The sequence below is a fragment of the Homo sapiens genome, chromosome 9 (genome assembly GCF_000001405.40).
Source record: "Homo sapiens chromosome 9, GRCh38.p14 Primary Assembly".
Taxonomy (NCBI): domain Eukaryota; kingdom Metazoa; phylum Chordata; class Mammalia; order Primates; family Hominidae; genus Homo; species Homo sapiens.
This window is the reverse complement of record NC_000009.12, coordinates 42075522-42102627: the sequence shown is the minus strand read 5'-3', so window position 1 is coordinate 42102627 and position 27106 is coordinate 42075522. Positions and strand designations below refer to the sequence as shown.

At 37.3% G+C, this 27106-nt stretch overlaps 1 protein-coding gene and 1 pseudogene across 1 annotated transcript in view; both read left to right on the top strand.

Moving 5' to 3' along the window:
* The window catches only part of CNTNAP3B (contactin associated protein family member 3B), a 238891-nt gene that overhangs the window by 26799 nt on the left and 184986 nt on the right, over nt 1–27106 (top strand). The window contains exon 3 of the mRNA NM_001201380.3: nt 25566–25759. Within this exon, the coding sequence (NP_001188309.2) occupies nt 25566–25759 (194 nt within the window). The remainder of the gene's footprint in view (nt 1–25565; nt 25760–27106) is intronic.
* LOC100420440 (ubiquitin specific peptidase 12 pseudogene) lies at nt 2940–3482 on the top strand (annotated as a pseudogene).

The window sequence follows — 27106 nt, the reverse complement described above, 5'->3', positions numbered from 1 at the left end:
AAAATTAACAGGCAGAAAACAAGTAGTTTCCCTGTTGTGCAGCCCAGTGCCTTCTTCCCATGTGATGGGAAGACGCCATGGAAACAGCTGCAATAGTTACTCAAGCCTTAGCCTGAGGGGTGAGAGGGGAACAAGGTAGCTATGCATCCCGTCTGTCCCAGTGTAAAGAGTCAAAATGGACTTTTTGGAGGTGTCTTTCTTCATGCCTCTTGGATACCACAAGTAAACTAGTTCTTCCATGCCACTAAATGATGAACCCATGGGCCAAACAAGTTAATGCACTTTTATAAGCAACTTATTTAATTCCCTTTAATGGGGAAGACTCAATTTTTCCACCAAAGGTTTCATAAGTTATGAAGCATAATCCAGAATTACTTTCAACTTGTAAAAATGTATTATCATGAATATTGCACAGATTGGATTATAACTAATTAAATATGTTTTTGCTTTCTACATCTTCATAGTTAGAATTTCAGTATAACCTCTAACATGGTATTGGCTAATTTGAGGATAAAGTGACTTGTTGTAAATTTATTTATTTATTTATTTATTTATTTATTTATTTATTTATCGAGATGGAGTCTTGCTGTGTTGCCAGGCTGGAGTGCAGTGGTGCAATCTCGGCTCACTGCAAGCTCCGCCTCCTGAGCTCAAGTGATTCACCTTCCTCAGCCTCCCGAGTAGCTGGAACTGCAGGTGCCCGCCACCACACCAGGCTAATTTTTGTATTTTTAGTAGAGAAGGGGTTTCACCATGCTGGCCCGGATGGTCTCAATGTCCTGACCTCGTGGTATGCCCACCTCGGCCTCCCAAAGGTGTGAGCCACCACACCTGGCCGACCTGTTGTAAATTTAAGAGGCTAAGGGTCAGTGTGCATTTCTACACCTTTCACATTGCATCACTTGAAGCTAAGAAGAACTCTGTGGTATATTACATGTAAAAATAAGACTGAAATAAGCTGACAAAGACTTAGGGCAAAAAAATAAGGTTTTGAGTAGAATTGAAGAAAACATTTTGATAATAATATCAAAGAAATTCAGAGATGCCATTGAAACCATTTAATTATTTAAACATGTTTGTTATTCCTTTTTCTGTAACTTCTTCTGACACTAATTGAAAATTTCAGAAAATTAACCTATAGTTTAAAATGTTTAAAATATGAGAATTCAAATGATACACTGGCACATAGTAAATTCTTAACATTTCAAAATAAATAATGAATGATCTATATTAGGAAATGAAATCTTTATATGATACACACATACAGTTGTAAAACTTGGTTTTCTCCATAATCAATAATTGGCTTTCAGAGGCAATTTAATTATGCAATGGTTGTCCTTAGTTTTATTATACTTTATAATAAATGGATTGATGCTTTGTTTAGTTGACAAATACAGACATAGGTGAATTAATTTTACCTTTTTCCTTAGGCCTGTCTTCTCATGTGCTTATAGCTGTGTCTGTGTCAGATGAATTTGTGAAAATATATTCTCTTGTTTTAGACAATTTCAACAATTAATAAACACTGTGAAGTTGTTATTCCATGACTGTTTGAGATGGAAAACCAGCCGTTTTGGGTATCATTCACATACTGGCTAAAGACATACATTTATTTGTGCATTTGCTGCCCTGTGTCTCCTCTGCATTTATTATATTAGCAGTTTCAGTTTAAAGTTTATTTTTCTGTAATTCAGATTCCTTGCTTCTTATGCTGGTTGTCATATGAATATGCCTTTCTAAGATTAGGATAAAACACTCTTCTTGGTGTTTTCTTTCAGTCCTGTCTTGAGTTATTTTTAATCAAAATGCTAGGCTGAGGTCAACTGATTGTAATTTGTTTATAAGGAAAAAATGGAAGGTGACCTGAAGAATTTTCTCTCCTCCCTTTACCCAAAAGTATTTATTCTTATTTTGAAATGAGAAATTCCTTCAGAATTCCCCAAGATCAAAGAGGGCTATCTCACTGACAGCTAAGACACTGTTGTCTTCATCTGTAACTTGACTAGTCTTGTCCAAAAGAGGCCTCTTCTGGGTTGGAATTGCATTTAGTTTTAAATAAACAATTATGCAGAAAGTGCTTCTTCCATCTTATTAAAATTTCAGAGTTAGAAGAAAAGGCATCTGAAGTTTCCAAGTAGAACTATAACAGACCTAGTGTTTTTAGTATCCCCATAAGTAAGCATTCTAGCATAAGGGAGGGTTTGCTGGTTGCTCATTGAATGTTGTCTTGGCCACTCACAGACCAACACATGATGAGTGTAAGATAAACTCTTTGGTCTAAAGAGAGAAAACATAAGAGTCTGTAGCTGTAACATGTCTGCTGACCCAAGCTGGAATGTTTTAGTGTATTGTGTCACCTAGTGAGTTTTAGGATTTCCCTCCCCACTTGAGTTTTCCACCTCAGGTTAAAGGAATGTGGGATATTAAGGAGAATTATTAAGAGAGAAAGGGCAAGTATTTGGAAATGCAAAACCTAGACAAGGTGGAGATGATGTACTGGAGTCAGAGAGGAATTAATAGCATATTAATATCAACATCATTATGGCCCACACACATCTATCATGCTCTCTAGTATTGTGTCCAAGGTCCATAGATGGTCACTGTCTTATTATATCCCTGATCATACTAGCTTCACCAGACTTTCAGGTCACCCAGGGGCTACATCTCTTAGACAGCAGAATATTAAGATAATGGAAAACAATAATAAGTTATGACAGTGTGTGAAAAACATGAAAAAGATTTTATATTCTCTCATGATAGATGTGATTCAAGATGCTACTGCAATAAATTAAAAAATATATATGCTTTTTTGCAAGGATAACCCGTGTGTTTTCATGGTCTAACGAAGTTAGACAGCATTGTTATTTGTGGCTTGACACCTCTGCAATTGCTCCTTTTTAAAGTTGCAAAATGAATGTACAATAACTAACCATGCATTAGACCGAAGGAGAGTTTGAGAATTTTTTCAAGGGGCCTTCACTAATGAAGCAAGCTGTCTTATTTGGGGATCTGTAAGCAGCAAAGATAAACATTGCCTAAGACATTTCTGTTGAAATGGCGTAAAACACATGGATTACTTACTTCTTCAGGGATTTTAAATACTTGGAAACAATGCAGTGAACACAGATATTACTGTGAAGAACATTTCAGCAAATGAGTTTACAAAATGGATGAAACCGAAGAAGTGTCTTATGTTTATAGCTTCTCACCTGAAGAGATTAACTATATGGGTGGACCTCATCAACATTCGAAACTTTCTTTCCAAGAGGTTTTTCCTGTAGAATTTTAGGACTTTCTGGGAAGATGCATGACAGATGCATGCCATTGTTGATGATGTGGGTCACTGTGGAAACTGCCCTAATGAGGCCATTATGCTGCCTATTTGTGATATTTGGTTATGAGTTGATGACAATATTGTAAAGAAAATAAACACTCAAGCTGTTGAAAAATTTTACAGGTTGACATCAATTATCACTTAGAACTTTTTTCTCAATTTTCTGAGTGAATGAGCATTGTGTTTAAAAAGATACTTTCTGCCTCATTTCTTCTCCAGTTATTTTGAAAAAGCTCAGGTACTGATTTCTTAGGAAAAGAGTAAAGCAGGGAAACTAGAGGTGGGAATTTGTGCTGCACACAACCTAGCCACGACTCTGGGTGCACCAGCCCTTCGGATGTGGGCAGGTAAGCATTTGCCCAGGTATCAGGCTGCCTGTGTGGCTCCACAGAACAAAGATGGGGAAGCAGAGGCATCAGCTTCTCTTATAGCACAGCACACAGCCTTCCAGGAGTGGATACACACTTTCTTTCTATTATTAGCACAAATAATTATCTCAACTCAATAGAAAAAATAGCCATCTGTGCCTGATTGTCCTGAAAATGTTTCATTAATTTACTTGTATTCAGTGAATATGAAACCATAGTTGGTGGTTTTTCAGTAAGTACAGAAAACATATTTGGTGGGTTGTTTTCCATGCAGAGTTAAATATTGTAGGGCCAAAGTCTTAGTTATCTGTTTTTTTTTGCTGTTGGTTTTTTTTTTTTTTTTGAGACAGAGTCTCGCTCTGTCACCCAGGCTGGAGTGCAGTGGCATGATCTCTGCTCACTGCAAGCTCCACCTCCCAGGTTCATGCCATTCTCCTGCCTCAGCCTCCCAAGTAGCTGGGACTACAGGCACCCACCACCATGCCCGGCTAATTTTTTTTTTTTTTTTGTATTTTTAGTAGAGAAGGGGTTTCACCATGTTAGCCAGGATGGTCTCAATCTCCTGACCTAGTGATCCACCTTTCTCGGCCTCCCAGAGTGCTGGGATTACAGGCGTGAGCCACCACGCCCAGCCTAGTTATCTTTTTCATGGAATAAAACTACAGAGGATACATTCCAGTGTCAGTAAGACAAAGAGTTTCTGCTTCTCTGAGGAAGTAAGTTTGCTATGTAGACACACACACAGAGAAAATGGTCAAAAGTTGCTTTTATAAACTCCAATAATCAACTTTTTTACATTAGCACCTTACTCCATGAAGATCACAGTATATGAATACAAAATAATATGTATGAATGTTTATTTGTGGAAAAAAATCTTAGAGATATCACTCCCTCGTTTTTCCAAATTCTGTGTATTGTCTGTTGAAACAGTTCATGCTTATGATTCTAATACATCATTTCCATGGATCTCCCCCTCAGCTTAGTCTCTTCATGTCTCACTTGGATTATTTTGAAAGTCCCATGATTGGACTTCAACTTTTGAAGCTTTCCCTAATTAAATAAATGCTTAGCAAAGTCCTCAGTTAATGTTCTTTAAAGTGCTATTCTCTTCTTATTCCATGCTCAGTTGATGAATCTCAGACACTAACCCCATAGAGCAGTTCTCAAATTCACAAGCCACCTAATGCCCACTGCCATACGTAAGAAGGTGGTCTAGTAAATTTTGGAGTAAAGGCAATATATATTTCACAAAATCAAAATGTAAGATCAATTACAATTCAGCTAATATTTAATTAGGATATAAGGCATCTCAGTGAATGCATTTTTAGTTTTTGAAGTACGTAATTATTTTTTTAGATTTGTACTTAGCTATTCTTACTAAATTTTGGAAAGTTCCTGCTTTATGGAAATGAATCAGTGACTCTAAATGGTTCTTTGAGGTATAAAAACAAAGATAGTAACAAATACAAATTTCACAATCTGGACTAGAAAACATTACTAGTGACCACAACTCAAATACAAATATAAAAAGCATCTTTATTAACCTGGGGTAAAAGCTTCTCTGCGTGGGGCAGTTTTACCCAGGCAACTGAACAGGCGGTGCGGGAGGAATGTTTGAAAATTGGAACTAACTTGGACGCACTCATCCCCATTTTCCATGCCTGCTGTGCACTCCTGCCAGATGGGAACATGATGTCATATTTTCCGTCAGTTTTCAAACAAAACGGGGATAATCTAATATTTTCTGGAATAACCATAGAATAATGTTTTCCAATGTGAACTTGGTGAATTTTATGAGTGAAAGAGAAGCAGATATTGGATCCACACAGCCATCATTGAAGGTGGCACACCTAACATCAAAAACTTCTGTGCGGGACCGGGCACAGTGGTTCACGCCTGTAATCCCAGCACTTTGGGAGGCTGAGGCGGTTGGATCACCTTGAGCCCAGGAGTTGGAGACCAGCCTGGGCAACATCAAAACCCTGTCTCTATTAAAAAAAAAAAAAGTTTCATGCCACTGTTACGGACTAGGAATGTCTAAAATCCATCACAAAGTTAGTATTTTGCTTGGAGGGGCAAGTAGAATGAGCTTTTGGAAAGTTTCTTTAACAATTCTTTGATCTAGTAATTCCTGAAAACCTTTGAGGCTGGTGAAAATACTTTTTCATGTAGGGATGAATCATTCTGTGAGTCCTGGCGTAAGTCAGCCAGAAACTCATAATGGGAGCTTTTGATGGGGGGATATGAGGTTTAAAAATGGAAATAAAAACTTTCTTCACGACACTGATAATTCCTATAAAGGCCATTTCTGTGTGGGATGACATGTACAATTAACATAAATGACCCTGCTTCCAAGCTCACTGAAATTTTTCGCCAGTGCCCTCAGACCTCCGTCTTTGCTCCTAACTCAGATTGTCTTGAGTCCTCTGTGTAGAGAAAAGGGGATCATTGCAGAGACTGTGAACCAAGACATTAATCTTCACTTCTGAAGTCCAAAAGCATCTTTTGGTCTGAGGTAGAAAAAGTTTGAAAGGGAATTGAGCAGGCTAAAGGTGTTTTAATTTTTCTGCTATCTCGCAGACTAGGAACCCTCAGCAGGACTGCACGATAGTATGCATAGAGAGGTGGGGACTGCCCTGAAGCTCTGCTCTCAAGCAGAGCCTTGCCGGTGGTGGCTTAATGGAAGTCTTCACTGAAGCTCAGGGATCTGAGTGGGCACTCTCAAGTGTGTAGTGGAAAGGAGAACGCCAGTCTCCAAGAGCAGCCTGCACAGCATCCTCATTGTGCTGCGGCACATTCAGTGACAGGACTGGACGCCCTGCGGCAGCTCTGGTGGCCGGTGAGGACAGCCCCAGTTATCCAAGGACACCCTGAGGTACCAAAGGCAGGTGAGCAAGACCATGTTCCTGCCTGAGGTCTGGCAGAGGGAGGAGAAAGGGTCACCAAAACGTTGTGGAGAGCACTGTCCCAGCCTGGGATGGGAGGACTTGGCTCCGTCGGCAGCAGGTCGCCATCCCTGAGGACAGTGCAGTGCTGACCTCTACTTGGGGCTTGAACACACTCCCCTCCCCGCTTTACCAAGGCAATTAGCAAAGCCAGAAGAGACCAGAGTTAACTCTGGGGATGAAGGGGAAGTAAAAGAACCCCTGAAGGAATTTTCAAGGGTCTGCGACCAATACAGACACGAACTGACAGGCTTATCCCTTAACTGGACGGAGACACCTGTTGTGACTACTTCCAGTCTCTGTATCAGCCAGAATTCCAGCTCCTACTAGAAAGCTTTCTGGGTTATGGAGAAATGAAGTTACATTTTCCCTCATGAGTTTGTGATTTAAAAATTTATACCTGCAGAATGATTCTGACGGATTTGCTCAAGTGGCTTTTGTCAGGGTTATAGTCAGTATCTTCTCTAGCCTCAAATTAATGTGATGTTGTTGAGGATGACTTAAAATTTTCTTTGAAAGTCTGAAACATGATGCAGAATGCTTGCACCAAAAGAGTTTTACATTTTCCCCACGCTTGTACTTACTAGAGCCAAGTACATCAAAGGTGTGGGTTAAAACCCGTGATGCAGGGAACTCTGACACTTGTGATAACATGGATGAACCTGGAGGACATTATGTTAAGTGAAATAAACCAGGCACAGAGAGACAAATACCATATAGTCTCACTTACATGTGGAATTTAAAGACAGTGCTCACAGAAGTAGAGAGTAGAATGGTGGTTACCAGACGCTAGAGGAGAAGGTGGATAGGGAAGGGGGAGATGTTGGTCAGTAGGTACATAGTTTTGGGTAGATAGGAATAATAATTTCTGTTGTTCTTTTGCACAGCATAGTGAATAGAGTTAATAAGTGTTGTCTGTTTTGAAATATATGAGAGAATTTTAACTATTCTCACCGCTAAAAGAATGATACATATTTGAGGTGACTGATATGCTGATTAGCCTGATTCGATCATTTTACAGTGTATGCATGTATCCAAACATCACATTGCACCTCATAAAAATGTACAATTATTATTCATCAATTAAAAATAAAAGTTAAACATGGGAGTTAGCAAACTTCTGCTGTAAAGAGACAGATGGAAAATGATTTTGGTATTGTGGACCATGTAAGGTCTCTGTTACATTTCTTTTTTTTCTTTTTTCTTTCTCTGTCTTCCCTCCCTCCCTCCCTCCCTTCCTCCTCCTTCTCCTTCCTTCCTTCCTTGCTTTTTTCCTTCCCTCTTTTTTTCTTTTCCCCTCTTCTCTCTTTCTCTTTCTTTTTCTGAAACACAGTCTTGCTCTGTTGCCCAGGTTTGGAGTACAGTGGCAAGATCACAGCTTAGTGTAGCCTCAACCTCCGTGGGCTCAGGTGATCCTCCCACCTCAGCCTCCCGAGTAGCTGGGACCACAGTCACATGTCATAACACCCAGCGAACATTTATATTTTTTGTAAAGATGGGATCTCATTATGTTGCTCAGGCTGGTCTTGAATTCCTGGGCTCAAGCAGTCCAGCCACCTCAGCTTCCCAAAATGTTGGGATTACAGGCCTGAGCCACCATACCCAGCCCCCGCCCTCTTTGTTTTTTTTTTTTAAATGCAACGCTTTACAAATGTAAAACCATTCTTAGTTCTCTGGCTATATAAACAGGTCATAACCTAGATTTTGGCTGCCAGACCTAATCTAGATTTTTACTAAGCCTGCATGCTAAATATGTCTGGCACTTTCCCTTAAAAAGCTCTCAGCATTTATCATATGCCAGTGTGCTTACTAGGTGTTTGTATGCTTTTCTTACGCTTTGTGCAATTCTAACTTCCTTGAAGGAAGGGTGCTATCTTATCCTTAGTGATTAGGGATAAGCTTGGAATCATCCAGGCTCTACCCCTTACTAGCTGTGTGACTTTGGACAAATTCCTTTATCTCCCTGAGTTTTTGTTTCCTCAGTTATAAAATGGGATTAGTAAAGTACCTATCATGAAACAGTTAACTTGAGTAAAATAGGTTGTGAAGATTAAATGAATTAATACACATAAAATAATTAGGTTATGTTACATCAATGTTCAGAGCAGGTGTATCCACAAGAGCCAAAAGAGAAACAACCCAAATTTCCATTGATGGACAAACGGAGAAGCCTAGTGCAGTGTAGGAAGAAAATTCTGGCCCGTACTGTAACACAGTTGAACTTTCAAGACATTATGCTAAGGAAAATAAGCTAGACACAAAAGGACAACTACTACGTTATTCATTTATATGAGGTACCTAGAGTAGTGAAATTCATAGAGACAAGAAATAGAATAGTGGTTGCCAGGGGCTGGTAATGGAGGTTATTGTTAGTGGGTTCAGAGTTTTCATTTGGGAAGGTGAAACAGCTCTAGAGATGGATGGTAGTGATGGTTGCACAATGTGAATGTACTTAATGCTACTGAACTTTACATATAAAACAGTTCAAATGGTAAATTTCCTGTGATGTGTATTACCATAATTAAAAAATTAGTATATGATCTGATCCAAAGTAGCTAAAATCTACTGAGTGCTGCTGAAGCAAAAATTATAATTAGTAGTTTTTTTTTAATTTGTTTTGTTTTGGTTTGGTTTTTGAGATGGAGCCTCACCCTGTCACCCAGGCTGGAGTGCAGTGACGTGATCTCGGCTGACTGCAACCTCCGCTTCCTGGGTTCAAGCTATTCTCCTGCCTCAGCCTTCTGAGTAACTGGGATTACAGGGTCGCGCCACCACGCCTGGCTAATTTTTTGTATTTTTAGTAGAGACGGGGTTTCACCATGTTGGCCAGGCTCAACTCCTGACCTCGTGATCCGCCTCGGCCACCTTGGCCTCCCAAAGTGCTGGGATTACAGGTGTGAGCCACCGCGCCCGGCAATTAGTAGTATCAACAGTGGGAGTAAAAGTGGCAGTTAAGCACATTGTTTCACAACATCTAGCTCAGAGCCATGACAAAGCAAACATTAAATAATATGTATAGATGGAATTAAACTTAAGCTTCTGTAGTAGAATAATTCAGAATAAAACATGAAATAATGCCAGGTAATGTCAGTTGTTACCAAAGAAATGTCCAAACTCTGAAAGAGCTTGTTAAATTAGGTTATGGCAGCCCACGGTGCAGGGGAGGGGACCGTCAGGTGATGTTTAAGTAGTTTACATGGACTGAATGAATCCCCTATGGTTCCATTTAAATTGGCCACCACACTGCCAGGCATATGACATTGGCAACTTAAACTCGACAGAGAAACCTCTAAGAATAAGATTAATGCATTTCTCATTCTCTGTGTCACAATTATTCAATTTAAAAAAACAGGAAAATATCAAAAATCTTTTTATGAAATGGCTGTACCAGTTTTACCTTCTATAGTATAAATGCAATATGGCTTTTGGTGCATTTAAATTAATTTTATAAGGAGTCCCAATCAGCTGATGAGTAGTTTTAGAATTGTTCCTATAATTGTCAACCTGGAGAGCTCTTCACTATTTTATTCATACTTCACTGAAAATTAAAGTTCAGTTTTATGCCTAATTTTATACATAACGTGTTGTAAAACATCACCATTTGGGTGATGTGTGTATATGTGTATTTTCCTTCCAATAGGATATATATGTGTATTTTCTATTTATAACTAGCTGACACAGGACCATTCTCATAATCCCATTTGATTTTTGTATTTGTCAGTAGATATAACAATCTCCCTTTGGTTCAGATTGAAAAAACGGAAAATGATGATGATGATGATGATGATTGTTGACTGTGCTGATAATTCTTTGTATACCATTATTTTAGCTTTAAACTATTTTAAGTGTGGTCCAGTACAAAAGCTGCTTAAGTCAGATACCCCAGTCTCTATGATGTGATTATTATGTATTACATGCCTGTATCAAAATATCTCATGTACCCTATAAATACATACAACTACTACATACCCACAAAAATTAAAAATTAAAAAGGAAAATAAACCAGAAAAAAGTCAGATTTTTTAAAAATTTTACATTTCATTATATTTAGAAAACTTAGCTTTATGGGGTTTTAGAGAACATGGTTTTTCTTCCATGTATCTTCCTATTTATTTTTTATGATGCTCAAAGTTGCTAAGTTTCCACATATTTTAGTAAGAATTAGCAATGCCCTGAATTCCATAGCTTTCATAAAGGATTACCTGTGTACCATCTCATCGCCACCTCTTTCCTATTACAGGAAAGCAATAAGAAGATATTCTGTAGTTAATTTAGATTGCTTGCCAAAATAGTTTTAAACTGATTTGTAATTTTTCCTAAACCAGAATGAGGAATTGTATAGTTTAAAGTATTAATATATATGAAATTGTCACACTACGTTTCAGATGCTTAGGAAATGTAGAGAAATTATTGTAAAATACATTTTAGAAAAGATGTTGCAACAAGACGAGGACAGAAGTCTGTGAAGTGTTGTGAGGAGGGCCCAGGGAAGCAGGAGGAAGGTGGGGAGACCACAGGATGACCTGGAGCCAAAGAAGAAGGGCCCAGGTCCCAGGGTCTCTACAGCACTGCCGGCCTTCCAGCCACAGTTTTTCTCAATCTTCCTGTCATATCCCTCAAGGAAGTAAGTGGACATTGTAAAGAGCGAGTAATTATAGCACAACAAAAATCAAAAGTCATGATTCTGGAAAGCATTATCAATAAAAAATGGAGAAATAGTTGACATCTCTTCATGTTTCCTCTGGAAATTTCTGATTATGTATGTATACTCTTCCACTCTAATATCCAAACAACTCTCTTACTTCTTCATGCAAAGAAACATGAAAGAATGAAAAGGTTCATCACAAGTGTATGATTAATTTTGTATATATAATTTTGCAAATTAATAGATTTTAATGTGTTCAATAAATGTACATAAATACACATGTATGTATATATCTGTGTGTGTGTATGTACTATGTACTAAATATATACTATATGTGTGTGTGTGTGTGTGTGTGTGTGTGTATATATATATATTTAGAGAGAGTCAGTGTGTACTTAATAGTCAAATCCAAATTTCAAGAACTTTATATTTTATGTAATGGCACCAGTTTTCCTGAAGCTGAATGTATGTGTGTGTGTGTGTGTGTGTGTGTGTATTCAGTTGCAGGAATATATACATATATACGGTCAGTGTGAGTGTGTGTATATATATGTCAGTACATACATGGTCAGTGTGTGTGCATATAAACACACATATGTCAGTACATATACACATATACATATATGTTAGTGTATACTAACTGTATACTGACTATATATAGTCATAGTCATATATACTGACTATAGTCATAGTCATATACTGACTATATATGTCAGTATATACATACATATATATTTCAGTATATATATGTATGTATACTGACATATAGGTATAGTCAGATTGTGTATATTCAGCTGCAGGAAAATTGGTGCCATTATATAAAATATGAAATTCTTGAAATTTGGATTTGACTATTAAACCTGACTTTGTTGTCATTAAGTTTACATTGATATTTCCTGGAATTGCACATTGCTAAATTTTTCTGCAAAACCAAGATTTCTAAAATATGATGGGGCATTTGATACAAGAAAAGGCAAATAAAGAAAAAGTAGAGCTCCATTTGTCATTCTTCTTAAGTGTCTCCTTAAGAAAACTATGTGATCCAAAGTTATTTAGACAAAAGCTTAAGAAATAAAACACTTAGTAACTCATGCTAGTACTTGATTATTCTTTTGCTTATCAAGTTTTCTTCTTTTTATGATTATTATACCTTTAATTGCGAACATTCATTGGATTGGCTCAGTAGCATTTTATGTGAGACAACTTTCCATTTTAATAAGTACATATTCTCCTTCGTTAATATGAAATAGAAGTGCAGGAGTAGGGATGAAATGGATAATTTTGCTAGAAGCAAATTGAAACTGGCTAGGCAAAAGCGTATATGTATTTTGCCCTCTTTTTCTGTTTTTAGAAAGTGCTTGCGTTAACTCTCATTCTCAGCCAGAAGCGTTAATGATTCAAACGGGCTTTATATATTGAAAACCATGAACTCTCACGTGCAGAGTACAATCAGGGAGCAAGCCCGTGGGTTTGAATGGAAATTAACGTTGGTGTATGGGAATGAATTTCATAGACAAGGATAATTTAGAAACCTGTGTGATAAACTGCAAACACAGAGCAAATGGAAACATATTGGATCTTTTCCCTCCACTCCTCATATTTCTCCACTATTCAGATGTCCTTCCATGTGATCATGCTTTCTTGGCACACTGACTAGGTTCAGTGATTAAGAGGCAGAGAAAATAATTACTGAATATTTTTAATACAAAATGAATAGCTCAGGATATTTGTAAGGGCTTTTCAATATCAAGATATTTATTTCCCACATTAGAAAGTATAACTCCTAATGAAAACTTGGCACCATAGTTTAAAATCATATTAATAAATAAAAGCAAAATTCTTACATTGGGGAAATGACCCACAAATGGTTTGTTATAGTATGCGATCTTTAACTACTTAGAATTTCCACTATTCTGCACAGTGCAATATCCCAAAACAGAATAGGATGTGAGATTTCATTGTTTTGTATGAGGAATCTAGAGGATAGAAATTGATAAAAATGTATGCAATAATTTAAAAATATAAAGAGTATCAATCTCTGATAGAATAATGTAAATGTAGCAAATATTTAAGATAACTAATCTAATAAGAATTAAATTCCCCTACATTTTTCTTCTCCCCTCCCCTCCCCTCCCTTTTCCCCTTCTTTCCCCTTCTTTCTCCTTTCCCCCTTTCACCCTTTTTCCCTTTCCCTTTCCCTGAACAGCTGGGATTACCCTTGTCCCAAGTAACTGAGATTACAAGCACCCACCACCAGGCCCGGCTGATTTTTATATCTTCTGGTACAAATGGGGTTTCACCATGTTTACCAGGCTGGTCTCCAACTCCTGGCCTCAGGGGATTCGCCCACCTTGGCCTTCCAAAGTGCTGGGATTACAGGTGTGAGCCACCACGCCTGGTCCTCATTTTTCATAAAATCAAAATTCTTGCATATTCCCCTCCTTAGTTTATAGGTCAGAAGCTACACTAAGCTTCCCAATGTGCCTAGGTGTTAGATGTGCCAATTTACATATGCAACAAAGGACCTGAAAAGTAGAACATTAATACAACAGAAAATATTTTGCCTGAGGATATTGTTTACTAAATTTTTTATCTGTGCCTTTTAATAGTTCTTAGAATTAGTAAGTCCAATGGCATTCTATTTTTATGCTTTTTTTTCCTCAGATTTGTAGCATATGACAATGTGAATATGTTACAAATGTTGAATGATTCAGCTGACTACAGGCCAAACAAAATAGCATCAAGTTATCTATAGCAAAATGTGTTTCGATTGAAGAAATATGTAGATTTTAAAGAAATTAATCTTACTTACTTACGCAAAGAGTATGCTTCAGCAGCATATGTAACTTTAAAATTCATCTAAAATAGGTTGTTAGTACTATGACAGGAAGTGGCATTCAAACAAACAAAATATTCATAAGGATGTTAATATAGATTAGACATGAGAACAAGAAATATTTGGCTGGTCTGATTCTCTTGGGTCACTTTAAAAATTATTTTTAAAATTTTTGAAATTGAGGCATAACTTAAAATACAATTAAATGCATAAAGTGTGCCATTTGGTTAATATTTACAGATGTATACGCCTGTATTACCAGAGCCCAGATCAAGTTACAGATCAGTTCATCACCCCCTTACCATTTGTTAATACTTTTTATTGATTATCTAGGCACCTCCCACCTATCACTGTTCTACTTTCTGTCATATTATTTAGGTTGGCTTGTGCTTTTGAACTTACAAAAAGTCATACAGTACCAGAATCATACAGAAGCTTTTGTATCCAGCTCCCTTTAGGGAGCATAAGGTTTCTGAGATCCATCCATGTTGTTGCGTGGATTTGTGGCACATTTCCTTCTATTGCTGAGTAGATTTCAATTGTGCTGTTTGTTTATCCATTCTTTTTAAAATGGACACTTGTGGCTTGTTTCCAGTATGGATCTATTATGAATAAATTTCTACAAACATTATTTTACATCGCTTTTGGGAGTGGAATTTCAGTATGTGAAACTCTAAAGAAACTGTCAAACTATTTTCAAAAGCCCTTGAACATGTTATACTCCCATTGCCAATGTGTGTCAATTCTAGTTGCTTCTTATCCTGGTCAACATTTGGTATTAAAATCATTAACCATTAGAGAAATATAAGTTAATATCATAGAGAGATAATATGTTCTCTAGGATGGCTAAAATTAAAGAATGGCAACACCTGTGAACTATATTACTCATGGCACCACAAACAACAACATGAGTTTCAGCATATTTGTATCTGTCTCCTTTGCCCCTGAGGCCCACAGGGGCAATGCAATAGGGCACGTATGAATATTACACTCATAGCAGACTTGTATTGCAGCTGAGAAATAATGAGCTTGGGGAACCTACTGCAGTTATAGCAAGTAGTAAGTGAGAAGGCTCTTTGTGTGGAAGAAAATGTAACCTCACCTCTCAAGGTTACCAGCTGCATAAACAACCATGAAAAAAGGGTCCATAAAAGAGCTTTTAGGCCTTTGTAGTCTTAGCAGACCCAACAAAACATGTAGGAGTGCAAGCTGCTTAAAGTGGACTGTCTCTCCATACATTATTGTGTATGGATAACATGTTCCTATATGGAGATCTTCTAAGAAATCTAGAAATCTAAAAGACACCAACTAATAAGTGAATTTTAACAAGTTAACAGGATACAAGGTTAATATACAAAAATCAATTCTTTTTTATGTAGTAGTAACAATCTGATTATCAAATTAAGAAAAGAATTTCATTCACAATAGCATTAAAAAATAAAATACTTAAATGTAGATCTTACGAAAGGTGTGCAGGACCTGTTCATGGAACACTATAAAACATAGCTATTAGAAAATAAAGAAGACTCAAATAAATTGAGAGACACACTATGTTTATAGATTGGAAGAAACTGGAATTGTCCTAATTGTAATAATCCTAATTGTCATACTTTGTTGGTGGGAATGTAAATAGTGCCACCACCTTGGAGAATAGTTTGGCAGTTTCTTAAAAAGTAAAAGCATGTACTTACCATATAACCTAGCAATTCCACTCCAAAAAATGTATGTCCACTCTAAGACTTAAATGTTCATAGAGGCTGGGCACAGTGGCTCACACCTGTAATGCCGCCAGTTTGAGAGGGCGAGGTGGGTGGATTACTTGAGGTCAGGAGTTTGAGACCAGCCTGGCCAACATGGCGAAACCCAGTGTCCACTAAAAATACAAAAATTAGCTGGACGTGGTGGTGCACACCAGGAATCCTAGCTACTCGGGTAGCTGAGGCAGGAGAATCGCTTGAACCTGGGAGGTGGAGGTTGCAGTGAGCTGAGATTGCATTGAATCTTGGCCTGGGCAACAGAGCGAGACTCCGCCTGTTGTAAAATGTAAAAAAAAATGTAAAAAAAAAAAGTAAATGCAAAAATGTAAAAAATGTAAAAAAAATTTATATATATATATATATTCATAGCAACATTATTCATAGTAGATGATATGGTTTGGCTGTGTCCCCACTCAGATCTCATCTTGAATTGTAGCTCTCATAATTCCTAGGTGTTGTGGGAGGGACCCAGTGGGAGATAACTGAATCATGGGGGCGGTTTCCCCCATACTGTTCTCGTAGTTGAGAATCAATCTCACAAGGTCTGATGGTTTTATAAGGGGGACCCCCTTTTGCTTGATAATCATTCTCTCTTGTTTGCTGCCACGTAAAATATGCTTTTCGCCTTCTGCCATGATTGTGAGGCCTCCTCAGCCACATGGAAATGTGAATCCATTAAACCTTTTTTCTTTATGAATTACCCAGTCTCAGATATGTCTTCATCAGCAGTGTGAAGATGGACTAATACAGTAGACAAAAACTGGAAACAACTCAAATGTCCATCAGCCACTGAATGGATAACCACAATGTGGCATATTCATTGAACTGGTTGCTATTTAGTAATAAAATTAAAGCTACTGATAGGCCATGATTTCTTTATGTACTTAATTGTTGCTTAATGTTACCAATTACTCTTAATGAAGAATGCCGTCCCACTCCTCTCTAGGATTTTCGCATCACTCTCTTACAGTTTGCGTTCTTCCTTCTAAAAATGTTGTCCTTTCACTTTTTTCCTGTTCAAAAAAATCCAGTGATACATGTGACAGCTCAACTGTCATGCAGTTCTTGGCAAGAAAGGTGAGGTTGAATAGGAAACTTCCTGTTTACCAGAGGCAACTGGAATCACTCAAGAATAAAGGGACACTGTATTCACCATCATATTGCCAGCTTCTGCTCCGGAGAGATGAAGTACATGTCTTTAATATATTCTTCCTGATAAGTACATTTTAAAAGGAACTTTATATATAAAATAAACATAAGAATGAAAAAATGTAGGGAAGACAGACCATCTAGGAACCTGAGGAATTGAGGAAATTATAGAGATAGAAAACAAATTAGTGGTTGCTATGTATAACTGTAAAGGGTACCAATGAGGAGGATTGTCGTGGTAGTGAAGTCATTCTCTTTCTTGATTGTGGTGGGGGTTACGGACCCTAAACGTGTCATACAACTGGATAGATACATCGTTTCCTGGTTTTGATATTGTACTGTAATTTTATAAGATGTAACCATTGGTAGAAACTAGGTGAAGAGTACACATCACTTCTCTGTACTGTCTTTGCCAATTCATGTGAAGCTGTATTTCAAAATAATTTTTTTCTTAAATAACATTTAAATTCTGACTGGCAGTTTAATTTGTGCTTCAAAACTGATTCAAAAGGACTATGACCAATGATGAAAATGGTAAATTACAACAATTGGTCCTATAACCAACTCTCCTACATTAGTTATTAAAGTCAGTGTTAAGGGAGGCATTCCAGAACTTCTATAGGACATGGTGCAGATTCACCTATTTTCTTTCACATTAATTTTTGCCAACTGGATTTTTTTAGGTTGTCATATTTTTTCCAAAGAATTCAGTGGGACAAACGTTAGCAGAATTCTGATGCCCCACATTGTCCCTGTTGTGTGCTTGCCTCTAAAAAAATTCCTCTGTTAATAGCAACTTAAAATAAACATTATTGTAATGTTTAGAGGACATTCCTTTTGCATCATATTTTGATAGTGTCCTGTTACATGCAATAATAAATGCATGTCTCTCTTCATATGAGGCTTTAACAGCAATTTCATAAACTATAATTAGTTTAACTACATAATATCCTTAGGAAAAATGTAAATATTACCATCTCTTTTTTTTTAGGGGGTGGACTAGGGGATTTTGGTTGACTGAGCAATCAATCACATACAGATGGATAATTTGATATTCACTAAAATATTCACTTCTCAGCATTTCACTCTCGTGTTTCCTTGCATGACATCAATTGTCATTTAATAAGAAAGACAAATACACGTGTTTAATCACTCCCTGAAGAAAGTAAACACACTATCTGTGGGAAATGGAACACAATGAGAGGCGTGCCATCAGCCTCAGGGTGCCCTGACTCCATTCCAGCCCTCTCCGCATATGCCCCATTTGCACATCACCCATCACTTTTGCCTAATTGTTTCTACTCACCAAGTGAAGATAATGGCTTCTTTGCCTGCTCAAGTGATAATTTGAGATTATATGTCTCATCAGATACTTTATTGGATGAATGAAAAAATGCACAATGATGGTTTTATTAAATTATGCAGTTAGTTACCAAGATGAATGGAACTACACCTATGCAAAAATCAAGATGTGGAGATAAGGGAGGTTATAGGCTGAGTCATTTAACCTTTAGGGCTCTTTCTGATATTTTCTGTGAGGGCCAAATAGAGTTCTCAGTGGACTGCATGTGAGTTTCTGCCAATGGCCTGTGGAGCAAGTGCCTGCAAGAGGGAACACTCCCCCAACTTCTGGGGTGATAAAGGATTTCTCACTGTCCCACCAGCCTGCACAGTAGGTTTCACCATTTTGTTAACTATTCCAGCTGAACTTTTCTTACTGACCTCTGGTTTCATCTATCTAAGGTGAGCTCCTGCTCACATCTCTCCCTGCGAGGTTCATATCTCTTTAGATTTTAGGCCAGGTGGTGGTTCTGCAAGCTCAACTCTCCAATGCATTTGTAAAAGATCATGAACTTGAAGTTTGTTGTAAGGGTGGAAATGAGGCTCCTTATAGCTTTCTACTTCCTGGGGCAGAAGCCAGAAGTTCCAGCCCATAGATTTTGATAAGTTGTATTTTCATTTTCATTCAGCTTGAAATACTTGCTAATTTCCCTTTTAGTTTCTTCTTTGATTCATTGAGTATGAAGTATGTGTTATTAGTTTCCTAATATTCCTGGATTTTTCAGAGAAGTTGCTATTGCTGATTTCTTATTTTAATCTATTGTATATCACAAAGATATACTTTACATGACTTAAATGATTTTAACTTTGTTGAAACTTGTTTAATGACTCGTTTAATGGTCTATTTTGGTAAAAGTTCCAAATGAACTCGAAAAAGAATACATGTTCTTCTGTTAGGTGAAACATTCCATAAATATCAATGAATCATATAGGTTGATAGTGATAATTAATACTTCTGAATCCCTATTTTCTGTCTTCTTGTGCAATCAGTTACTGAGACGGGGTGCTAGAATCTCCTACTGTCATTGTGGATTTATCTATTTCATTCAGTTTTACTAGATTTCATTTCGTGTATTTTGAAGCTCTGTTATTAAGTGTTTGCATGTTTAGGATTATGTTCTCTGATGAAAGAACATCTTAATCATTACAAAATAATTTTCTTTACCTTTTATAATAATTTTTGCACTGAAATCTACTTTGTTTAATATAGCCAATCCAGCTTTTTTAAAAACTATTATTAGCATAATATATATTTTTCCATGTGTTTACACTTAGGCTATTTGAGCCTTTTTTATTTAAAGTGTGTTTCTTGTAGGCAACATATAGTTGGATCTTGCTTTCTCATCTAATCTGACCATCATTGCCATTTAATAGGAGTGTTTGCACTACTTACCTTTAATATGATTGTTTATATGATTAATTTTAAGTCTAACATCTACTATTTGTTTTTTGTTTATTCTTTGTCCATTTTCAAAGCTGCTAGGGAGTGTAGATGCATTTTGTAAGAGAATACATTTTATAAATTGTTATATACACTCTGAGATTTTAACCATAATTGCAGTTCTTTTTTTATGAACACATTTTTAGTAGGCTGAATATTCTTTCTGCTTCAACCTGCTAAGATTGAAGGAAATACTGCTGAAATAGAACATGTACACAAAGACAGATTCTGAGGGAGGGTTTCTGTATTTTTTTACTTTAAAGCAGCCTAGTTGAAAAAGACTGTGGTACCTGATTCTATATCTGTGTAGTTAGCCCTTTTTTTTCTAAATGAAATTAGATCTCAGGTAAATGTTTAAATTCCCCTCAGCAAAAAGGCAGATCTACTGACAAAAAGCATGGCTGTTTAAAGCCTATAAATCTCAGAAGTGGAATGAGGGAGTTTATTTAAAGCCAGCTTCACTCCTCTTCCCTATAAATTACATATAATCACACTGGAGTGTAGGAGCTGTGACAGTCCCTACCTCACGTCTCACTTCCCACCTCCTGCTCACCCCAGGTAATACCTGAAATTTTTAATGTGAATTAAAATGCAATTAGATGAGGAAAGAAACAAACAAATATATCTGGATAAAATCACATTTGAAACAATTTGTTATCTTAGTGGGAAGTGTCTCATGGGGACAAGGTTGACTTAACTGTGTGTTTGCTTGATATATAGAAGCCCCTAATAGTGGCTGGCTTTGAACATTTACTTTGTTTACTTATATTTTGTGCCCTCAATATCAAATTTAGTTAAGGAAGGTATAAGATTATGGTGATATGATGATAATCGTAATGATGATGATGATGATTTACCTGTGCATTATTTCCCCTGTAAACAAAGTCAATACATACTCTGTAACAGTGCTGCCACTTAATGACTAGATGCTATAGTCATGGGAAGTTTTATTGTTGTTAGTCAGAAACAATTCAGGCTCCAGCTGTAGGGTTTCTACTTTTCTTTTGCAGAGCCCCCTGCCCCAGATAGTGAAATGTAACTTTGACCTGATGTAAATGCAGAATTATAACACAGATATAACTGTACAAAATAGAGACATAATCCTGCCAGATTATTTATAACCAAAAAGTACTAAGTGATTGACAAATCATGTGAATATATTCATGGACAAGGATAAAAATGAAACATAGCTGATTTTAAAAATAATATCTTTCCATGTGTTTTAATTAGTGATTTTATTTTCTCATCTGTAAGGTAGATACGATAAAGACAACCCACTGAATGCTTTTAGAAATAAAAAATGATAATATGCTTGAAAATATCTGGTCGAATTCTCAGCATACAATATATGCTTCACAGTTTCTCACTTCCCTCTTTTCCCTTGTTTTCCATTACAAAATAAGTGGCAAAACTTTAATAATTTCCTCAGAACTTGAAAACTTAAAAGTGGATAAAACGGTACATAAGATAAATCCTATGTTGTGTGAACATTTAGGGACAAAACAGCGCAGCTCAGCATCTTCACTGTGGTACCAATATCAGCCTTTATAAAAACGAATTACCCTTTAAAAAATAACATCTGCTGTTCCTCAAGCCATATAAAGTGTAAGAGAAAGTTTCAGTTGCTCAGCATATTTTAATCTCATTCCAGTAATGGAACATGTGTGTCAGAACATATATTATGAATGGAGGGGATGAGTTTTCGTGATTCATAGGATCTGTGGGGTAGAATTGTGACACTTTATTTAACTCAGGTGCAATGTCTTGTCAGAGGCAGGGGGAGGAGGGTGAAGTGGAGAAGAAACATTTGTTATGGGGGAGAGGCTGAGCTTAGAGGACCTAACTGCTTCCCCTGTTTTGTGTACAAAGTTTTGTTGACCATAGACTAGAAGGGACTATGAAAAGACACTTCCAGGTTGAAAATTAGTCAGCACATGTATAATCTTGACTTAACAAATAGAAGACTTTCATTTGTTTTAATTTAAAGACAACAAAAATTGAGTATAACATCACATTTGAATAATAATTTAGTTACAAAGTGCTGTAGTTTCAGTTATCCCATTGTCTTCCTTACAGTCTTGTGAGGTGATTTATATGACTGTTAATCCCCTCACTCCCAACTTTATGCTTTTCTTTTTTAAACAAAGACAACATTTTTGTCTCAGAGAGGCTGAGTGACTGGACAATTACCACACTCTAGTTGGGGGTGGAGTCAGCCAATCTCCTTTCTCTTTCTGTTACCCATAGTGGCCTTCTATACCAACCATCAAAGCTGCCTTTAACAAAGGCACACAGATTAGTGCTATCCAGCAGTGCACAGGTCAGTCACGCTGTGTTTCCCACCATTTCCACTCAGCGTTTAATTAAATTGTGTGCACAGCAGCTTACCCTTAAAATGCATCTGGGATTGCAGATTGTAACCATGAGTCTACAACATCCTGATGAAATTCTTTGGTAATGCCAGAATTTCATTACTTTATCAGTAATGGCTGAAAATATAGCTTATTTGCATTTAAGTACTACTTCATCAAAGGTAAAATGAAGTCACTGAAATGTGTCATCTGTTAGCAGGAGTGCAACCATGAACACCAACAAACTAACAAACTGTGAGGGATGCCGAGAAGAGGGATGGCTAGTGGCTCCCTCTTCATCTAATGAAAACACACCATCCCAGGGTAGCACACCAGAACCGTGTCAACTCATTTTCCTCCTTGTGCTTCTCCACATGTGTTCTCATAGTAATTACTTTTCTAAACCTGGAATGAGAGGGAGTGAAAACACCAAAGAAAGGTTATGAAATACAAGCTGAAGAGGATGCCCTTCATGCTGACTAACCAAGATGAGGGGAAGAACCAAAAATATTGAATAGTTCCTCAGAAGTTTCAGCTCTGTGTATAAAATTCCCAATGTACAACATCCAGCCTAAGATGATGGGTTGGCTGTTAGCATCTCCTTCACCTTCTCCCAACTCTTTTAAAACAACCATAAAATAGGCTGGGCCCAGTGCCTCATGCCTGTAATCCCAGCACTTTGGGAGGCTGAGGTGGGCAAATCACTAGGTCAGGAGACCAAGACCATCCTGGCCAACGTGGTGAAACCCCGTCTCTACTAAAAATACAAAAATTAGCTGGGCGTGGTGGCATGTACCTGTAATCCCGGCTACTTGGGTGGCTGAGGCAGGAGAATTGCTTGAACCAGGGAGTTGGAGGTTGCAGTGAGCAGAGATCTCGCCACTGCACTCCAGGCTGGTGACAGAGTGAGACTCCATCTCAAAACAAAAACAAAAACAAAACAAAACAAAACAAAACCCCTTAAAATAGTAATAAGAAAAACAGAAAAGGATACACAGTTTCAGTAGTGTTGTACCTAGGACCATTGGTTGCTAGTTAGACCAACCCCAAAAGGATCTCCCACCAATTAAAGTTTACATAGGCTTAGGAGAGAAGAGTAGATCTGGTGGAGTCAACAGGAAGGGCCAGTAGAGAAAACCCCATTGGCACTGCACCCTCAGCTTTCCGAAACCCAGACCTTGCCTGACCAGGAGTAGGAGAGGTTGCCCTGCTGCATGGGGGCTGCTCCCTTAGGTAGCCAGACCTGCTCACTCCCAAATGTCTTTACATCTTTGTTACATTTATTTGAGAAACACCACATCCCATGATTATCATCAAAATAATATAATAAAAATATTTAATTGCACAGGTTCTGGATCCAAAGCTTGTGGGCCCCTTGCTAGATGCGTAAACATAGGTGAGCTGCCCACCATCCATATGGAGGGTAGTAATGAGGCCTTGTCTTTTAAAGGTATGTTAGGAATTAAATGCAAAATTTACTTAAAGGGAACTCTTTGCCTGACCTAGAGTTCTCAAATGCTCGATAAGTGTTCATTGTTAAATTGAGTGATTATGGAAGTGGGTACGTGGAATTCTGTTACATCCTGAAAAGTTAAGTTGGAAGGAGGAATGAGCAGAGAGAAGAAACTGTGGAAGTAGTTCCTACTGAGGGCTAAAGAAATCTGTGCACTGTCTCTGGCAGGGGCTCACATAAATATTGCTGTAAATCATCCAAGAATAAATCTTGCCCGATCTAGGAAACCATGTTGCATGAGTGGAGGATGCCCCTGATCTATAGCAGAACATTTAACTTTGAACAAGAGCTGTGTCCACCTCCTAGCTGTCTGGATTAAGAAAATATATGGAGTATTTTAGTGTCAATCAGATGCACAGTGTTGGTTATCAGTAATTTTCCATCTTGTCTACTAGATCAAATTCCTGACTCTTCAATTCAGAACATAGAACAATAAAAAGCAAAACAAACAAAAATTATATTTATATATATGTCTGTGTACATACTATATATATAATATAAACTTTAGAGGTGCTTATCGTACATTCAGAGGAAAAAATATTTTTGAACAAAGATTCACTACAAAAATATCTTAGAATCTGACTTCTAAGAATCTGTAAACTTGGGAATCATAAGGAAACAGTAGTTAAGTGTGGTCATCAATTCAAATAGGTGCCTAATATTTATATTTCTTAACACTTCCCCATAATAACTTATATTAAAGTATAATGTCCTCACTTATTCGTTTTTACACCTAGCTATATTCTAATAATATCAAACTTTTTTGGACATGTAGTGAAGTACTAAAGACTTTACAAATGAGGACATAATGATAAACTCCTAATAATAAAATACACAGTATAAGTCAATGAATAATAATGAACTGTCTAGAACTTCAGAATTTCTGTCAGAGCCTTCAGGTAAGTGGCAGCACCAGGGAATAATAAAAGTGTTCTGACTCCTCAGCTTGGGAATAGTTTATAGAGCACTCTCTTTTTCTAGACATTGATTATTAAAGAAGCTGTGGTTTTCGAGTGTCCCCTAATTCTATTAGACTAGAAAAATAATAAACATCAATAAAACATCAGCGGACATGCCTATGTTTTTGTTTCAGATGTGGCATTGGTCAGAGCAAAAAGAGCAAATTTTCTGCTCTGCATGCATCTTCTTCAATACCCAACAGTCTCCTTTTCCTTGTCCAAGGTGGATGAGCGCTGTGTGAGGCTTGCCCCAGTTTCCCTGCAGTACTGCCAGAGAGAGCAGAGTGCACCAGAACCTGCTTAGGACTCACCTTGACCATTTGCTACTCCATACCTTTTTGTATTTTTTAACCAATATCTCCTCCACACCCCAGTTCCTCGTAACCATCACTCTCCTCTGTACTTTTGTGAAATCAACTTTTTAGAATTCCACATGTAAGTGGGATTGCCTCACAAAGCACTCTATGTTTTAACTCTTCTTTTACATCCATTTCTCCTATGAGACTGTAAGCACTTTGAGTGCAAGGTCAATATATTAACTGTCTTTCTTTTATCAGTGCTTAATACTGTACTTCCTACTACTGGAATTTAGTCTCTTATGTTGGCAAAGGGCAAATCTTGCACAAGGGCTATGAAATAACACTAGTTCCAAAAGTTGACAGGAATGCTCTAGTGGCCACCTGCATTAAACAAACATTTTCTGCAGTCAGTGGGACACCTGCCTTCTAGAATATCAGGGGTCATCTAGCTAAATGTGAACACAATTTAGGGTTCATCCAGTCACATGTAATTATTCTATTTTTTCTATTGTAAATCGATGATTTTCTTAATATATATTCATAATTTTATAGTTTTCTAATCTAGTAACAGCTATGTTAAATAACTTCCTCCTCTACCATTTTTATACTTTTTCTGTTTCAAAAAAGGAGCTGGTGGCTGGACCCCACTTGTGTCAAATAAATACCAATGGCTGCAAATTGACCTTGGAGAGAGAATGGAGGTCACTGCTGTCGCCACCCAAGGAGGATATGGGAGCTCTGACTGGGTGACCAGCTACCTCCTGATGTTCAGTGATGGTGGGAGAAACTGGAAGCAGTATCGCCGAGAAGAAAGCATCTGGGTATGTTTCTAATAACAATAATTGCTACCTATTGCTGCAAACCTATTAGAAAAACAGAATTTTAAGAATTACTTTGAAAAAAATGTTCTAAGTGAAAGTAAGATACCTATTTCATTGAAAGCATTGAAAGAGAATCTTATACCATTAAATAGTGTGGAAGTTAAAAAATAATACAAATCATATATAATTTATTTTTTCTTGGTTTGCTTAATAAAGTAATTTAACATTGCCTCTGCAGTATTTTAGAGTGGTAGATTGAATTCATTTATTTTCTCTGATTTGATCTGATATTTTTGAAAGACACTGAAATTTCAAAATGTAATAAATGAGCAGTTTCTGTGTGTATGACAAGTACAGGAACACAGACTTTGAACTTGAAGAATTGTGTGTCCTTTATTAAGCAGCCAGATTTAGTTTTTCTTGTTTTTTTTTTTTTTTTTTAGAGACAGAGTTTCGCTGTTATCACCCAGACTAGAGTGCAGTGGCACAATCTTGGCTCACTGCAGCCTCTGCCTCCCAGGTTCAAACAATTCTTCTGCATCAGCCTCCTTAGTAGCTGGGACTACAGGCATGTGCCACCACACTTGGCTAATTTTTTTTTTTTTTTTGTATTTTTAGTAGAGACAGGGTTTCGCCATTTTGGCCAGGCTGGTCTCGAACTCCTCACCTCAGGTCATCCACCCATCTTGACCTCCCAAAGTGCTGGGATTACAGGAGTGAGCCACCGCACCTGGCCAGATTTAGTTTTTCATAGACTACAGATCTCTGTGACATTCTCTGAATCTGTAAATATCCTCATAACAGTGACATTATTTCTGTTTCTGATTATATGTCAGTGCCTCTTTGCCGGGGTAATCACTTTTTGTTTGACTTTTGCAGCTACTTGGGAGGCTGAGGTAGGAGAATCACTTGAACCCGGGAGGCAGAGATTGCAGTGAGCAGAGATCGCACCATTGCACTCCAGCCTGGGCAAAAAAGAGAGAAACTCTGTCTCAATAATAATAATAATAATAATAATAATAATAATAATAAGTATTTATTACATAGTGTTTGAAAGTAACCTGTATCTGTTTAAAATCTTGCTCTGCATTGATTAATAATGTTTAAAATGTTGTGGACAGTTTCCCTATAAAAGAGATGCTGTAAGAGAAGACTCATATAGAGTCTGCATCGTATTTGTAATTTGGCTCTTTCTTCCTCCTAAAAAAAAATACGTCAATGACAGAGGTACCGTCAGCATTTTTGTTACCAAGTTAAGCAGTTCAGAGGGAAACCATAGCCAAGGCAATGTCATTTGCCAATTTTGCTTACTCTGAAAGGTTACTAGCCTGCGGGGAAAGAGCGTAA